The sequence below is a fragment of the Homo sapiens genome, chromosome 6 (assembly GCF_000001405.40).
Source record: "Homo sapiens chromosome 6, GRCh38.p14 Primary Assembly".
NCBI classification, from domain to species: Eukaryota; Metazoa; Chordata; class Mammalia; order Primates; family Hominidae; genus Homo; species Homo sapiens.
The window spans coordinates 11804991-11822695 of NC_000006.12; the positions used below are offsets into that span (position 1 = coordinate 11804991).

The window sequence follows — 17705 nt, forward strand, 5'->3', positions numbered from 1 at the left end:
TGATTATTCCTCTCTTCTCCTCTCACAGGTAAATTGTGTATTCAGTGAAAGGCTAATCAGAGACTCAAAAGAATGCAACCATTTGTCTTTTAGCTACCTATGCCCTGGAAGCCCCCTCCCCTGCTTCAACTTGTCCCGCCCTTCCGGACCAAACCGATGTACACCTTACACATATTGATTGATGTTTCATGTCTCCCCAAAATGTATAAAACCAGGCGTGGGTGCCCTGACTACCTTGGGAACATGTCAGGACCTCCTGAGGCTGTGTCAAGGGTGCATCCTTAAACTTGGCAAAATAAACTTTCTGAACGGATTGAGATCTGTCTCAGATACGTTTGGGTTCACACTAGGTGCCTGTGGGCTGATTTCATCCCTGGCAAGTGAAGAGGAGCTGTGGCGAGGGTAGCAGAGGGTTGTCAGGCTTTGCTGAGTGGCAGGGGGAGCAGCCAATAGTGTGGGGATATGGGGGCGGGGGAGGTGTCCTCTCCCCTCCTCCATGACTCCCTGCTGGATCACGCCACCAAAAGACTAGGCACCACCACATGTGTAAATACCTGAGATGCTGGGAAACCATGCAGGCTGGGCTGTGCTAAAACCCTTCGTTTTATTCTGTATCAGGGTAAAGATTGTAAAGAAAAAACTCCCTGATTGTAAAGAAAAAACTCAATTACAATTGGACCCCTAGGCTTCTAAAGGAAAATAGGTGAGAGAGAGAAAGGGGCGTTTTCTAAACTTCATGGCATTCAATGTTCCACAGCTGTGGAAGATTGCAAATGACCTCTGCCTGGGGCTGCCGCTGCTCATCTGGATAGGTGAGTCGGGCGTAGCCAGGCGTGGGTGTGTGCACCAAGGCAGCACAGGGCAGGACAAAGCCCGGCTTGCTCTCATCTGCGTCTCATTGGATTTGCATTATCTAGGTCTTCAGAGGGAGATCCCTCAGCCTCTGAGTCTGCAATGCTATCTGTATCTTACCAGTGGCCTGCAGTAGCAGGAGCCCCATATTGGGTGGTGAATCTACCAGTGACTTCAGTGGTTGGAAACTTGGGAAAGTTTAGGCTACATTAGAGAAGGAGTGGTTCACAGGCAAGCCACTGGCAGGGGTTAAGAGATGAGAAGCACCTGCCAATGATTTGGAAAACACAACTTGCTGGCACCTGCCTGTTCGGCAGTTTCTTTCTGCAGGTTGTGAGCCCCTTTTGTCATTGTCAGGGCCTAAGGGTCCAGGAATCACTGTCTACCTTAGGAGTTTGTTAATAAATCGCCACGGTGAGTTGGGTAATGTTTGAGAGCAAAATGAAATAAAATGTCCTATATGTGTTTAAGCTATAGAAAACTAGGAATGGAAGAAAAAAAAGGCTTTCTGCTCTTGGATCCCAATTTACCTAGTGGGCAGGAAGCCTCCCCAGCACCCCTTCCTCATTTCTGACCAAAGCAGTTAATGGCATTAAATGTCTTCATGTGATCTCACGCTAGAACTGTATTGGAGCAGACATCTGGCAACAATTTATTGGCGCACAGGATAAATTTTCAGAAAACCAAGTTGCAGTTCTGAGAAACTTCACAAATCCACCTTCCTGCCCACCCACTTCAAAGCCCCTCACCCTCTCGGCAACTGTTCACCCTCCCACACTGGCACCTCAGACGCCTGCAATAACCTCCGACGAACTTGTCGGACAGCCCTAATCTCCTAACAAGGGAAATGCAAAGAGCTCAAGACAGAGATCAACACTCTGGACGGGGATTTCCAGGCCCAGATCAGCACCCTGCTGAGACATGCTGTCTGGAAAATCAGAAATGTGATGTGGGAGTGCACAGCCCCGCGGCCCCCTCACCTGGCCATGCAACCGCCTCTCCATCCAAGCCAGTGGTCAGGCAGGGAGGAAGGACACTCACCTGTAAGCTATTTAGACGTGGCCTCACCTTGTGGGGTTTCCACAGAATGGATGTCTTCCAGAGTATCTCATCATCATGACTGGCGATGATGAGGAGCTAAGGATCTCCCTCTCGGGTGGGTGGGAACTCACTTCGCAAGAATGGTGGCTCTGGTTTGGAGACTCTCTGGGCTGGTTGGCTGCTGGGAAGGCTGTCAAAGGTGAGCAGGCAGCATCATACCTGACCAATGAATGGCAACAGCCAGGACTGCTGGGAAGTGTGGGTGCAATTGCTGGCAAGAGCCACCTTTTTTTTCTGGTGAGTGGGCGTTCAGAGGCAACTTCCCCTGGAGCTGGCATCCTCTGTCTGGAGTAGGGAATTGGACTGCGCAGGAATTGGGGAGTGGAGGGAGGTTGTGTGTGTGTGTATTTGTGCACATGTGTGACTGCAAGTGTGTACAAATGCAATACCACGTTTCTATCTATAAGGCTTAGAAAAAGCCATCCTTTAATGAAACCTCTATTTTACAAGAGGCTGCGAGAGCTTTGGGATTTTCTTCCATGAAGTAACATGATTTCGCAGTGGATTTCAAACATGTTTTAAAGCACCAGAAACCTCTCTTTTTTTTCCTGCCCAAACACAATCATATTCAAAAGTCACAGATTAGAAAAGAGATCGAAGCAGGGTTGCCCTAATTAAAGTGTGTGCTGGCCCCAGAGACCCAAACCCTCTGTTGGTCCTCCTCTCTATGGCCAGAAAGGCCCCAAATGGACTCATGGAGGCCCTAAGGACCCCAGAGCAAAATGTACCAAACTGGTGAGTGAGTAGGATAAGTTCTGGCTTTCAAGTCAGACAGACCTGAGTTTGGGTCCTGACTCTGCCACTTGTGAGCAGTGAGGTCTTTGTCCACTCATTAACATATCTGCTTCTCAGTTTCCTCATCTATACAATAGAAATAATAACCCTTACATTGCAAGGTATCTTCAAGAACAGGAGACAAATACACATAAGGCATGTGTTACTAAATCCCCATACCTATGAGCCGTGGCTGGCACATAGAGTCTTCACACAATGTATTGTTGCTATATGACATAGTTTGGATGTGTGTCCCTGCCTAAATCTCATGTTGAAATGTGATGCGCAATATTGGCTGTGGGGCCTGGTGGGAGGTGACTGGATCATGGGGGTGGATTTCTCATGAATGGCTTAGCGCCCTCCCCTTGGTACTGCCTCGCAATCGTAACTGAGTTCTTGTGAGATCTGGTCATTTAAACGTGTGTGGCAGTTTCCTTCTCTTGCCTCTCCTTTGGCCTGCTTGCACTTCTCCTTCCACCATGATTGTAAGCTTCCAGAGGCCTCCCCGAAGCCAGGTGACGTCAGCATCATTCTTGTGTAGCCTGCAGAACCATAAGCCAATTAAACATCGTTTCTTTATAAATTACCCAGCCTCAGGTATTTCTTTATAGCAGTGCAAGAACGACCCAACACACTATGGTTAGTTCAAGGAAGCTTTGGATATGAGCTGTCTATTGATAGCCAGGAGAGAAAACAAATGACAGTGAGGAGACTTCCCTTAGCTCAAAACTTTTATGCCTGTTACTATCCTGTTTGGTATTCTTTTCCCAATGGCACCTAAGTGCTTTGTTTAGTATGTTCTCTTTAAAAACAGGACAATCAAGACAGTAAATACATAACCTACAGAATGAGAGAGGATATTTATAAATCTCATGTCTGGTAAGGTTCCAGTATCCAGAATATACAAAAAGAACTCGGCCGGGTGAGGTGGCCCACACCTGTAATCCCAGCACTTTGGGAGGCCGAGGTGGGCGGATCACGAGATCAAGACATCAAGACCATCCTGGCCAAAATGGTGAAACCCCATCTCTACTAAAAATACAAAAATTAGCTGGGCGTGGTGGTGCATGCCTGTAGTCCCATCTCCTTGGGAGGCTGAGGCAGAAGAAGCGCTTGAACCCAGGAGGCGGAGGTTGCAGTGAGCTGAGATGGCGCCACTGCACTCCAGCCTGGCAACAGAGCGAGACTCCGTCAAAAAAAAAAAAAAGCCACACACACACACACACACACACACACACACACACACACACAAAACAAAACAAACAAACAAAAAACCTCTGACAACAACAACAACAACAACAACAACAAATCCAATTTAAGAATGGGCAAAGGACGTGAAAAGTCATTTCTCCAAAGAAGATATACAAATAGCCAAAAAGCACGTGAAAAGATGCTCAGCATCCTGAGTCATTAGGGGAATGCAAATCAAACCCAGAATGGACACCACTTCATACTCACTAGGATGGCAATGATAATTAAGAATGCAGAAAACACCATGTTGGCAAGGATTTGGGGAAATTGGAATCCTCATGTACCACTGGTGAGTGTGTACAACGGTACAGCCTCTGTGGAAAACAGTTTGGGAGTTCATTAATAAGTTAAACACAGAATTATCATATAACCCAGCAATTCCACTCCTAGGTATATACTCAAAATAACTGAAAAAAGACAATCAAACAAAAATCTTTACATGAATATTTACAACAACACTATTCACAACTTCCAAAAGGCATAAACAACTCAAATGTCCATTTACTGATGAATGGATATACAAAATGAGTTATCTACTTAAAAAGAAATATTATTCAACCATTAAAGGAATGAAATACTGATACATGCTGCATTTTCTGTGAATCTTAGAAACATTATGCTAAGTGAAAGAAGTCAGACACAAAGGGCTACATACTGTATGATTCCACTTAAATGAAATATCCAAAACAGGCAAATCCATAGAGACAGAAAGTAGATTCATGGTTGCCAGGGGCTGGGGGGGACGTGGGAATGGAGAGTGACTGCTAATGGATAACAAGTTCTCTTTTACGTTAATGAAAGTGTCCTGGAACTAGTTGACAGTGATGCTTATGAATATTATGGGTTAACTTGATGCCACTGAACTGCATATCCTAAAATGACTAAAATATGTTTTATGTTGTGTGTATTTTATTGCAACAAATAAAAAGCAGGACAAGTATCCATCTAGCCAAAATATAGCCTGTGCATTTTTAAAGCAATTTTAAAGGTTTCTTTTTCCTCTTTGACCATCTTGCATGGATGCAATAAAACACAGTTCTGAAATGCTAGGACGTCTGTCTGCACTAAAGAAGTCTCATTCCAATTTCAAGGGCTCACTTGCCTCTGGAACTGGCCTTGAGAATGGGAGTGCCTACTCCTCCCTCAACAGCTGACGTAAAAGGGAGAACTTCCTGGAGGCCAGCCAAGAGCCTACTGGGGCATAATCAGGCTGCCCAGCTTGTTGGCTTGGACATGGCTCCTCTCCACTTAGGAGGCTCTGCCCACTCACATTCCAGGCCTCAGCTTGCCATGTTTTCCTGTTAAGCCCAGAACCCTTCCCCTGGGTCCCTTCCTCAGAGGGGACATGTTGGGAGCCACAGTCTCAGAGATACTTGGGATTTTAAACATGATGCAACTCTAGGGCTGACTTTGGAATTCTGTGGGCTGTGCTTGGCCCAGATCCCACCTTTGGGCCACTTTTGCTGCTGCTATTATTTTTAGTTGGTGGGGCAATCATTGTGTGCCTTTGTACAGTTTTCATTTGGGAAGCCTTAGAGCTCTTTAACTCCACTCCATTCTATCACATCCTTGTTTAGCAATGATCATCCTTTTGCATTACAAACTAGAAAAGCAACTCCGTAAGACTAACAAACTCTCTTCAACCAAGTAAAGGAGACTCCTTGTGGAGGGGAGCCCCTGCCCGCTCACCTGGATGACCATGCCTCACCTCTGCCGATCACATGCAAATATTTGTCCTGTTCTGAGACATCCTCCTGGGTCCCAGCTTCTTCTCTTGAAGAGTGAGTTTGATTTGATTTTGTATTTCTGTCTTGAGCTACTTCCTGCTTTATCATTCAACAGCCTAAATTTAGTTCAACACTCCATCTTTACAGTACAGATTTCCAGTGCACCATCAGAAGCCGAAGTAACTGTGAGTGGGAGGCATTGGAGCCGGCTGGGAGGTAAGCATTCGGGCCAGCAGGGAGGAGGAGTCGCCCATGTAGCAGTGCTGGATGACAACATTCCCACACTGCCCTCGGACACATCACAGACCCTGGTACCACAGGATCCCTCTGATTCAACTGAAGAGAGATGCAGAGCTGCATGCCACCAAGTAACTAATTCGTTCTTCTCTTCTTATATCCATTGAGCAGTGTGCAGTGTTGGCACAATGCACAGTACTTGTTAACCACTCCAGGAAAAGAAAGAGCCACTCATTCTGATTAGCTGTCAGAACTAATTTTAAGCTATGTTATTATATGGTAAAGAGGAAAAAGGAAATACAAGGAAACTGTACTTAAAGCCAGTGCCTAATCAGGTTTTTTCCCCTTCGTCTGTTTCATACAAAAGCTCCCTGGAATCACTGGTGTGAACCATTTCATTCCCCTCTTCCGGTGTTAATTACATGTGATATTCTAAAATATACACTCCTCTCTCCAAGTAGACCAAACCGAGCCCTTTGTAAATTGCTCATTGCCCATTCGTTTTCCCCAGCAGCTCCACCTCATTTCCTTGTACCTCCTGTTTCGCCGTGGGGCCACAACTCCAGCAGCACTAAGTATAGAGTAATTATTTCTGCCAGAAACATTCCCCCTAAAAAGGGCTGGGCTGAGTTTGGTGTATGTATGTGTGTACTTGAAAGAAAGGCATATAATAATATCAGGCCTCTTTGTTTTCCCTCTTTTAATACCCACCGGTTCTCCAAGATGTCATTGGCAAACACAACAGCATTTGCTTTTGTTCCCTTTACAAATATTTTCCTCTCAAGGCCTATTTCTTTCTTAAAACTGCTGCGTGTCTCACTATGGAAAGCAATAGTTCTCAATTAGTAGACTGAATGAACTCTGCCTGTGTGGTTTTGATTTAGGAAATATTTACTAAGCTTTTGGTCTAAAACTCCCCAAAATCTGGAGCAGCTGATAGTCTCTTGGGTAAGTGAAAGCAACTCAAATGGTAGGTATTTGTGTTTCAGGTGGGAGTGGGGGCAGAAGAGGGGCCTTGGGAAATCCAGTTAATCTATCTATCACTTCTTTTCCAATCATGTCATTATCCATTCAACAAATAATTGCTGAATGCCTAATATGTGCTTGCTGCTCTTGGGTGAGTTGGGACCACCAAGCGTGACCATTCAACCCAAGGAGAACTCTTATTACTCTTGCAGAAACAGAGCTGGGCATTCTGTAACAGTCTAGAGATTTTACTGGAGTAAGGGACAACCATATGATTTGTCTTTTGGCATAATACAAATTATATTCATTTTTTAAAATAAAAAAATTACTTACTTTTGTATCTTATGGTAAGCATTTCTTCCAATATAGGGAAATGCTAAATGTCTCCAGATTTCTGCATAGGGCTTACATGTTGCACAGATTTGTGACAATCTTGAGATTTGGTTCCTTGAATGGAGTCTCTAATACAAGCTTTCTACTTAGATTGAATGATCAGCCTTGATGGTCCCAACTTGCCCAGGAGTAGCAAGCACATAGTAGACATTTGGAGAGAATCCATCTTTCTATCAGCATAGATTTGGACTAGAAGGTGTCAATGGAAGACCCAGAGATTTAGAATGGAGAATCCAAGTGGTAGAATGAGTTATGAATAGTGGAATGGATTCATTAGATTTAGATTCTTAAAGAGGCCAAGTTGGACTAGATTCTAGAAAGACTGTGGTTAGAGGTACTATTTTTGTTCAAGAACAGAAAAAGGTGAAGTAATACATACTTATGTACAACCAATCAAATTAAACATCTACTATATAAGAAAGATGATGTGAAAAATAATCACATACTTCTATTAACAGAGTTATCCAAGTGGGCTGAATCATGCTTGTGAGTCCCACGTGTGGTACCCAGAACAGAAGAGAAGAATCACACCTGTGCACTGGGCCACATTTCACTTAGGTCCAGGGCACTCCCAATAGGAGGAAGAAACAGCTCCCCCTCAGAGTTATTTTGTCATGAAGAGTCTGGATTTCAGAGTTCCAATGCCCAAGTTAAACAGCTTAAGCTTGGGGGGCCAAAATTTTTTCACAAAAGTGTCACCTATGTGCAATAGGACCTGTGGCTCTTAACCGCCTGAGTTTTCCAGAGTATCAGTGAGTATTCCTTGAGCAGAAACATGATCTTAATGGACTTCTTGGCATGGAGTGGCAGGGTGTGGGTGCATTCTGGATAACTGGACTTTCCCAGTGTTTGAAATTGTGCCATTTGGTTTCCTGACAACTGCTATGGAAAGTTGGGAAAGACAGAAGGTGAAAAGAATCCAGACATATTTTTATCTAAATAATGACATCTTAAAGACAGGCACTGAATGGCCTATGCAGCCCTCACTAGTAGAGGATGTGCAAAGAACAGCAGAATGAAGTCGGAGGCAGCTTTCTTTCCTGTTCCCCTTGGGGACTTTACAGCTGTCTCCTCTCCAGCCCTTCCATATCCCCTACAACTACCAATTATCTTGAGAATCAAAAGCAGCTTTTGTTCAAGCAAAAAATCAATATGTCTTATCTTTGAATATCTCCAAGAGTATTCAAGCTAAATGGGCTTTCTTAAAAGACACATCAGCCAGGACTCCCGAATTAACAGAAGTGATGAGCCTGTGTTTATTAGGGAGCTTCAAAAAGATTAACACGAAAACAATGCCCCGTTCCCCCTCAGGAAATATTGGACAGATACCCAGATATCCGTCTGCCATAGAGATTGAGATTTTGTTTCACTCAACTTGGAAGAGTTGGGGAGATTTAAATCTTGAAACTAACTGCAGATGAATAATACAAAATTAGAGCTTGCCTTGATGTTCCCACCAGGGACACATCCATCTCATTATTAGGTCACTCTGCGTTTGGGGCCTCAACTGAACTTCCCTCTGGCTGGAGATAGTTACACTGTACAACAGTATTTCTCACACTTTAGTGTGCACACAAATCACTTGGGATCTGATTAAAATGCAGATTCAGTAGGTCTGAGGAGCGCCCAAGGATCACAGGTAATGCTGACGATCCATTGAGCACACTTTGAATAGCAAGGATATTGTAAATGTACTCCAATTGTAAATGAGCCAAAAGACATGGGTTCAATCCAAGTAACTTGACTTTGTACAAGTTACTTAATCTCACTAAAATTCTGATTTTTTTTCTCTACAAAATGACAAAGACATTTGCCTCACAGTATTAAGAGTTCAATGAGATAATCAGTAAAGCACTTTATAACTCTACATTGGTTGGTGATCTTGAAGCTTTCTAAGGGGAAATAAGTGCTTGCTTGGATTGTCCACCAAGCATGTATTGGGCAGCTGGTATCCTATGGGCTTTTCCCAGCAGAACTGAGAAGAGGAAGGTGGGGGAGCCCAGCTTCTCGGTGACTGACAGTCTCCATGGCTGCTGTCTTGGGGAGTGGAAGGGTGAGCAAAGGTTAAACTGATTATGGTGCTGCCATCAGAGGCTGGTTGAGAGGCCCCTGGAGAGTGCAAGAGCTAGCTGTGTTCCCTCTTCAGTTCTGAAGGAAAGCCAAGGATACCTATTTCTCTTTCGATTCTGTTTCTTATTAAAGACAAAGGATGGAATATAGAAAAATTTGCTTTAACTGAGATGTTGGAATGAATGAATTTTAGAGACAGATGGAGTGATTCTCTCCTAAGATTAAAAGTGATAACTCATGGAAAAGGCCTTTGAGACCGAAGGCCCTATTATTGTGGAAGCTCATTGTTGAAAAAGACCAACTGGGCCACACGCTGATCATGTTGAATTGGCAAAAAGCTTATAATTCATCCAAATGAAAGTGGCTTCCCTGGGTCTTGGATGGTTATGCAGGGTTAGAGTTAGTGTGAGAGCTATGAGAGATGGCTAGGGTAAAGGTCAAACAAAAAACACATTCCCTTGAATAATCATGAAACTTCTGAAGCAAATGCATATGAAGCCCCTATGATGTTCTGTAATGTTTCTCTAAATCCCTTTTTGCTTTGGTTTTCTGCCAGAAATGGATGCAGATGCATCAGCTACCTCACAAGGAAAACCTGTTCTCACAAGTTTTATCGCACCACTTGGCAGAGAAAAAGGCTTGGGTAGAGGCTGAGAACTTTCACATATAACCAGAAAGCTCGGGAATTCAGCCATCTTGACTTACCACCCACCGCTGAAAAGAAACTTTCGCAAACTCTCAGAGCCAGGATCTAAGAGTCCCCTCCTAATCAGAAAAGGAGGAAACTCTACAAGGTCCAACTTTCTCTTTAAAGGAAATTCTGTAGATGGCTACAAAGCCAGGTCATTTTAGAATTTCTCACGGTAATGAGGAGCTCAAAGACTGGTTGGCATGGTTCTCTTACCTCTATCCTTTTCGTCTCTTTCCTCCCAGCCTCCATTGGCCCAAGGCAAGTTCCCTCAGAAGACTGCACTCCCAGGAAAATGCCAAGCTGGAGCTGGGAGGGATGAGGGCTGGTATAAAAAAAGGAGCAGGAAGAGCAGTTCTTTCTATTTGGGCCATTCTATGTATTTGGAAGTCCATGAGAAATATAAGAAGGGCTCACTCTAAAGAGTAAACAATGTAGATGGCAGGATATGTGACTGGGAATCTGCTGAGAATGTCTTCACATTACTCACAAGTTAATAATTTCCCTAAGAGTGGGAGTTTCTTGAGGATGTTTAGGATTTATTTTTAAGCCTTTTAGAGCTTTGGAATAACACTCACAGTTTCTTTTTTACTATTTTCATGGTGTTCAGAGATTTCAAGCCCACATTTTAGAACCCACCCACCTTCAACAGATGTAGACAAATTAGAAATACGCAGGGACCTCTCAAACTCATTACAGAGCTTATTTGGAACATGTGAATTATATATGCATTTTCTACCTCATTATCTTCATGGGACACTGTATATTGATTTCATTGTAAATCTGCAATGGTAGCATCTCACTGTATATAACCTGCAACTGTGTCCCCAAGCTATTATCATTTGTGCTAATGACAATGCTACCTCCTTTTCACAATTAGTGCTGTGGAGTATATAAGTCAAGAGGCATTTGCTACGAACCTACTAGGTAGATACCAATGCACTAGGGCCTGGGAGGGAAATATGCCCTCAGAAGATTTGCCCCTCCCTGCCTGGTAAAAGAGGCTTCTGAAAAATTATAAAGGGAGGAAAAAACCAGTGAGGAATCTGCATTTCAATCAGATCTGCCCGTGTTTCCAGGTTACCTGATGGGAAAACAAACCATCGAGCTTGCTTACCATTTGTTGATTTCACAGATAATTTTATTCCAAGTGTGAGTAGACCTAAAAGACATGCAAAGATCAATGCAATGTGATTAAATGAGACTGAATCAATAAATTCCAAAAAGTATGGCACACAGTAAGAGTATAATAAATATTGGCTCTTATTATTATCATCATCATACTTATCATTATTTCTGTCATCAAAGACCTCTAAATCTAGTAGAATACATGACATGTATTGCTAATACAATGAAGAAAATATACAGATTATATTGTTGGCACAGATAAAATTCTGTAAGAATTCAGAAAAAAAAGAGAAAATAATTTCAGACTGAGGATAAGAATTGAAGACATATAATAATAAAGAAGTCCAATACCCTTATTCCCTCAGTATGATGTGTCTGAGAAGTATGGTAATACGCCCTTCATACAAGCACTCCAAGTATTCCTGATTTCCTTAATAATATACTATGGCTCTATGCACCATTAATTGATTCCAATCCTTTCAAGATCTGTTTATATATTTAGTCATTTGACCATTAAATAAGGGGGTCTCCAAGCCTATTGTTTGCCAAGTGTCTTTTTTTTTTTTTTTTTTTTTGAGACGGAGTTTCACTCTTGTTGCCCAGGCTGGACTGCAATGGCATGACCTCTGCTCACCGCAACCTCTGCCTCCCGGGTTCAAGCGATTCTCCTGCCTCAGCCTCCCGAGTAGCTGGGATTGCAGGCATGTGCCACCATGCACAGCTAATTTTTTTGTATTTTTAGTAAAGACGGGGTTTCTCCATGTTGGTCATGCTGGTCTCAAACTCCCGACCTCAGGTGACCCACCCGCCTCGGCCTCCCAAAAGTGCTGGGAATACAGGCGTGAGCCACCGCGCCCGGCCACTGAGTGTCTTTAGGTGGTAGAATTATAGTACTTCTTTGGTAATTCTGTGGTCACTCTATTTTTATCTTCATGATTTTATAATTTTTTAATCTCTTACCAGCCTTGCAGTAGTCTAAGTAAGGAATTTTAATATGTCAATTAATGGCCCCAAAATAATTCATCCAATCACTTGACTCTTTGAAATGCTTCCTGCAGGTCTCTAAACTCTCAGTTATCATTTTAAGGTATGATAACAGAACAGTACACAGAAGTTCTTGTGTAGATGTACTTTCGTTAGGTTTAAGAAGGTGATGATGTTTCCATCCTATTGTTAAAAACCCCAAGCAAAGGGACCAGCTTCAGCTTGGCAGGAAAGTGTTCATGTCATGGGCCTTGGAGCATTGCTTGTTATCTAGGTTACAAATAATAATAATAATTATTATTATTATGCTCAATTGTAAATTGGTAATGGCTTTTTATGAAGTTGCCTAAAAGGAAATTGACATAATATGATTAATGTCTCACACATTCTTTTTACTCCTTGTGCTTGTGACTGTATCAATCAGATTACTTATTGAGCACCATTTACATACTCTGCTTTGCGCTGGGCCCCATAGAGATGACTAAAAAAGTATGTGATAGGTCCCCTGTGCTTGAGAAGTTTTAAATCTACCAGAAATGACATGAAATATAAGAAGACAGCACATGATCTCATATGATATCTATAATGAATGTTCTGCAGTAAGTTTCAGGCAAAAAGAGCTTTGAGGAGTTCACAGAGGAGAGAGATCCATGTTGACCAGAGTAGTTAGGGTAGGGGCGGTATTTGGGGGGCTGAGGAGAGCTTTTTTGGTCTACATTGTGGAGCAGAAATGGCCTCTTGTCACAGCCCTTAGTACTCAAGAGCCTTTAGAAGTAAAAATCCCAAGTGGGCTCCTCATCTAATGAAGACTATTCTGTGAGTTCTCGCATGTTTTCAAAGGAGGCAGCTATAAAGAACGGAGTTCTGTGAGTGCTTTCATTCACTCCACATTATTCTCCAGCCGAACCCAATGATCAATCGCCTTTCCCTGAGGAAAATGTCTGAGTTATCTTGTCAGGGAAGATGAAAGTTGGCTGTCATCCTCCTACTTGCCACAGAGGAGAGGGGATTGTTTCTCAGCTGAAAGGGAGCAAGTCTGGTCATATCCTCAACATTATCAGATGTCAAAAAACATCACATCCGCCCCCTTTTGAGAACGTGCCTCGGTGTGATGGTGTGGAGCGATTCACAGTGCAAACACCTGTTTCCCATGATAGGCAAGTGTATGTTTTCTCTTTTCACAGATTAGCCTACACTCCAGGGAAAATTAGTCAGAATAACAGAGCCACAGTGAATTTGGGTCAGGCCGATCCAAGGGCCGGCATCTTGGATTTAAATTCGATCTGCCAGGTTCTTCCTTGGTCACAGCCACACCCTCCCAGCTTCCTGCTACCTGTGGAAGAGGCTTAATGACTGAAAAGGCATGACCTGTGCGATGATCATTCCTAGAAAGTCTTTCCTTTGTTTGCAGTGGTGGACTGTGGGCCATGGGACTGCCTGTAACCAGCACGAACATACAGATAAAGAAGCCTGGATCAAAGCCTCTCAAAGCCAAGCAGAAGCCTCTCTGCCACTCACTCCATAGGCTCATACATCTAACCACCATTAGCTGAACACCTATAACTCTCTGGGCATCTCTCTAGGAACCGCCCATACAAAGATGAGCTCTAAGTCTGGGGAGACATAGGCTGTTTCTCCCAGTGAGAAGAGTTAATGGCAGAAGAGGGCATAGCTCTCCAAAGTCTAAAGGCCTGCATAGTGCTTCTCCTTTTGAGGCTTCTGGAGACTCCAGAGGCCATCTCAGACACGCCATCCACCATCTGATCTGGTAGACCTAAGTTCTCAAGTTGTAGAGCAGCTTAAGTACTAGCTTGGATCTGCTCTGCAGATTTCTTTCTTTCTTTTTTTTTTTTTTATGGAGTCTTGCTCTGTCATCTAGGCTGGAGTGCAGTGGCATGATCTAGTTTCAGGGCAACCTCCACCCCCTGGGTTAAAGCAATTCTCCCTCAGCTTCCCGAGTAGCTGGGATTGCAGGTGAGTGACAACATGCCCGGCTAATTTTTGTATTTTTAGTAGAGATGGGGTATCACCATGTTGGCCAGGCTGGTCTCAAACCCCTGACCCCAAGTGATCTGCCTTCCTCAGCATCCCAGTGTGCTGGGATTACAGGCATGAGTCACCATGCCCAGGCTGCAGATCTTTCTCTTGTTCTTAACTCTTTGCAAAATTGTGTGGGTCAAAGATAACTTGGAACATAGACGAGAACAGCACACCTAACTATGACATCCACTGCCTCCAGAGCTCAAAAACTCACCAGCTGTTATGCCTCTTTCTTGGTGGTAGAAGGTGCAAGATATCACAAATTTGGCTTCATCTCACAGGGAATACCTCCGATCACTGCGCCCCTAGAAACTTCGCCATAGGTTTGGTTTCTACTGTCTGCCACAAGAGAAGTATATGGCAGATAGGGGCTGTTCCTTCAGCCTGGGTCCAGGAGTGAAAAGACACTTGGAACAGGGTCAGGCAGAGCTGCAGACAAGAAGTAGATCTGAGAGCAAGATATAAATGGATGTGGTTACAAGCCTCTGAGATGTGGGAGTTATTTGTTATCACAGCAAGAGCTAACTGATACATCTTCCTATACATTTTATTTCAGCCTAATGTGATTTGTATCCTGATAGATGCCTCATTTTTTCTTATTATCATTTCTTGATTGGCAAATTCAAGTACCCTTTTTCATCTTTTTGTGCCTAAATCCAGGCTTCAATTCACAAGTCAGTTATTTCTTAATCCTTAGTTGGAAATAATTTCTCCAGGTTTAATACCCAAAGCACTTTAGTTGTGTCTTTTTTTACAGTTTATCACTTTCTATCTTGCACTTTATGATTTCTTTGCATGCCTATTGTAGCTACTGTGGTTGATTTCCTAACATCTACTCCATCTAAATCTGTTAGTCTAAACCAAACATTGTAATCCCATCTTTTTATTTGTGATTGTTTTTGCAATGGTATTAGAACAAAATCCTGGTCAATGATAAAATACAAGAAAACTCTGGAGGACTTCCGGGAAAAGTTTCCCTGCTTCCCACCTGCCCCCATCCCCCAAAAAAAAGAGCAAAGAAAGAGACAGAGGTAGCCCTTCTGCCATTACTTCTTTGTCTACTTTGCTAACAGCGTGATGATTAAGCAAACCTAAGGGAAGAGAGCCAGAGCCAAGCTGAAACAAGCACAGAGGAATGCCCTGCGCAGCTCCACGTATATGTCCACTGCAAGCATTCTCCACGGCACCAGTGTGGGCCTTGACCAACACAGACTCAACGAATTTATTTCATAAATAAGTAAAAGGAAAGCCTTTCAGATATTTACATTTTGCATATAAGATCTTTGAACAAAGTGTAAGACAACGACAATTATTGCAGCCTGGAAAGTTGGTAGAGAAACTACTTAATCAAAATCCTCGCGTATACATAGTTTTTAAAGCAAATGAACAAAAAGATAAAATTATTGAGGAAGAACTCCTGCAAAGAAAAAAATAGGGAAAGAACTTTCTGAAACAGATATTCAGTAATCTCACTTTCTGAAGTCTCTGTAAACTAGGATAAAGATTATATGAATTTTCATCTGTACAGGATTCTGCCATAGAATTCCAGTGAGTGCAGCCAAACTAAACAAGGATGGGAACTGGAATTTTTGATCAAAGACCACACATAAAAATAGAGTAGTTTATTATATGAAATAAAATCAACAGATATTTTTGTATTCATATATATATATACACACGTGTAGTAGTTTCATAGAGCGGCCATTCTCCTGTTGCCTCTAAGGACTGCACTGTTTCTCTATTGAACAGAAGAGCAGGTGACTTTTCTTTGGGACCTTTCCACAGCTATGATCTTGAAGCTCCAAAATGGGAAGTCGTCTTTTTGAAGCCTGAAAAAGTTCTGTTACCCCTTGAATTGCTCAACTTCCTAGCATGGAATATATTAATATAAAGCTCCCAGTAAATGAATACTTTAAGTAAGGTGAATGAGGTTCTACAGAGTTTTTGTTTTGTCTTACAAACAGAAGATGTTGGTAAACTGGTCTACTGCCCCATGGACAAGGCGGCTGAGGTGTCAGTCCTTATGAGAAAAAGGACAATTACAAAATCCATTATATAATTATTAATTTCTGGTTTCCTTCAGCCTGGAAAAGAAAAACTCAGTTTTCCCTTGATCTGTGATTCTCCTTCTCCCCCACTTTAAATCCTAAATGCATGGATATTACTGGGGAGAGTAACAAAAGTAAGAGAGACATGGTTACTGGTAAATTTAAAACTGAAACTCCCATTTATGCAACCGATATATTAGGAGGCATGAAATTCTGTCCTACAGCTATTATTTTTTCTCCTTGCAATACTGAAAAAAAAAATTGCTTTATTCAACTGAAATGGTGTGTCTAACATGACAGAATGCTGAAGAATCAATATTCAGTTGCAAAAGTACAGTTATTTATTCTCTCAGACACACAATGAATGATTCTCAGGCATTGATGTGCTCAGCTTGTAAAGGTAGTGCAATCTCAAGGTAGTTGTTCCAGTATGGTGCAGGATTTGAAAATTTTATGTGACATTTCTGTCTTTGGTATCGATTCTCAAGGAAGTGTAAAAATAAAATCATTCTTTATTCTGTGACTCAGTTTACTGCTTTTACAAATGAGCACATTATATGGCAACATTCTTCGCACACAGCCTTGAGAAAAGCAGGCCAGTTGTTCTCCTTTGCTTATTTCCTTTAGAAAATCATCAATCATCGGCTCATCAAATCCCCATCCTGCAGAAAGCAAGTTCTCAGCACATGGTTGTTGCATCAAATACATGGAGAGCAAGCGGCTTTGTGCTTGACCTTTTGAGATAAATGCTAAGTGGGAATCCAAGGAGCAACTTTGACAGGAGCTAGTATGGGAAGAAGGCTAGAGCATGAAAGAAGAGATGGCAAGCTGGGGTCTGGGCTGATCCAAGGCTAGTAACTAAAGAGATCATAGGGAAGGAGAAGAGTGTTTTCTTTGCCTTTTTTTTTGTCTTGTCTTGTCTATTAGAAGATATAAAATTGACATTTTATGAGACACTGATAATATTTTAAACATTTATTTCAAAGATTCATCTCGTACCAATTCTAAGTTGCCTGATAGTGTGTTGCTGTTGGTTGACTTATTTAACTGAGTAGTATTACAAATATTTACTTAGTTAACTAGAAACTGAAAAGGACCATTTTTTTTAAGATTTCCTTAGTACTTTTATTTCCATTCACTCATTTATATAAAATAATTTTATTGAGTAGGAAGCTAAAAATGAACACTGGATATGAGGTGGCTGTGATAATGGGACTTGCAGTTCTTGGCTGTAGGTGGCATAATTGACCCAGAGCTCCACGATTGCACTTTGAAATACACGACCACATTCTGCCAAGGATGTGCGACGGTAGGCAGCCCACATCCCAAAGCCCAAGGCTACGCTTCCCCTGGGCTGCCCCTGGCCAATGGCTAAGTGTGGCAGGGACATAAGGCAGGCTCTTTCCTGAAAGACAAGGACTTCCTGTGATGGGAATCATGGTCCAA

General features: G+C 42.5%; 2 long non-coding RNA genes across 2 annotated transcripts; one reads left to right on the forward strand and one right to left on the reverse strand.

Moving 5' to 3' along the window:
* Nucleotides 1-1649: 1649 nt before the first annotated feature.
* On the reverse strand, nt 1650-6276 carry LOC107986567 (uncharacterized). The gene is made up of 3 exons (XR_001743970.2): nt 5687-6276; nt 4186-4292; nt 1650-3269 (listed from the first exon to the last, which is right to left on the reverse strand). It is a non-coding gene; the product is annotated as an uncharacterized LOC107986567 (long non-coding RNA).
* On the forward strand, nt 5094-6073 carry LOC124901257 (uncharacterized). The gene is made up of 2 exons (XR_007059451.1): nt 5094-5759; nt 5853-6073. It is a non-coding gene; the product is annotated as an uncharacterized LOC124901257 (long non-coding RNA).
* Nucleotides 6277-17705: the final 11429 nt, after the last annotated feature.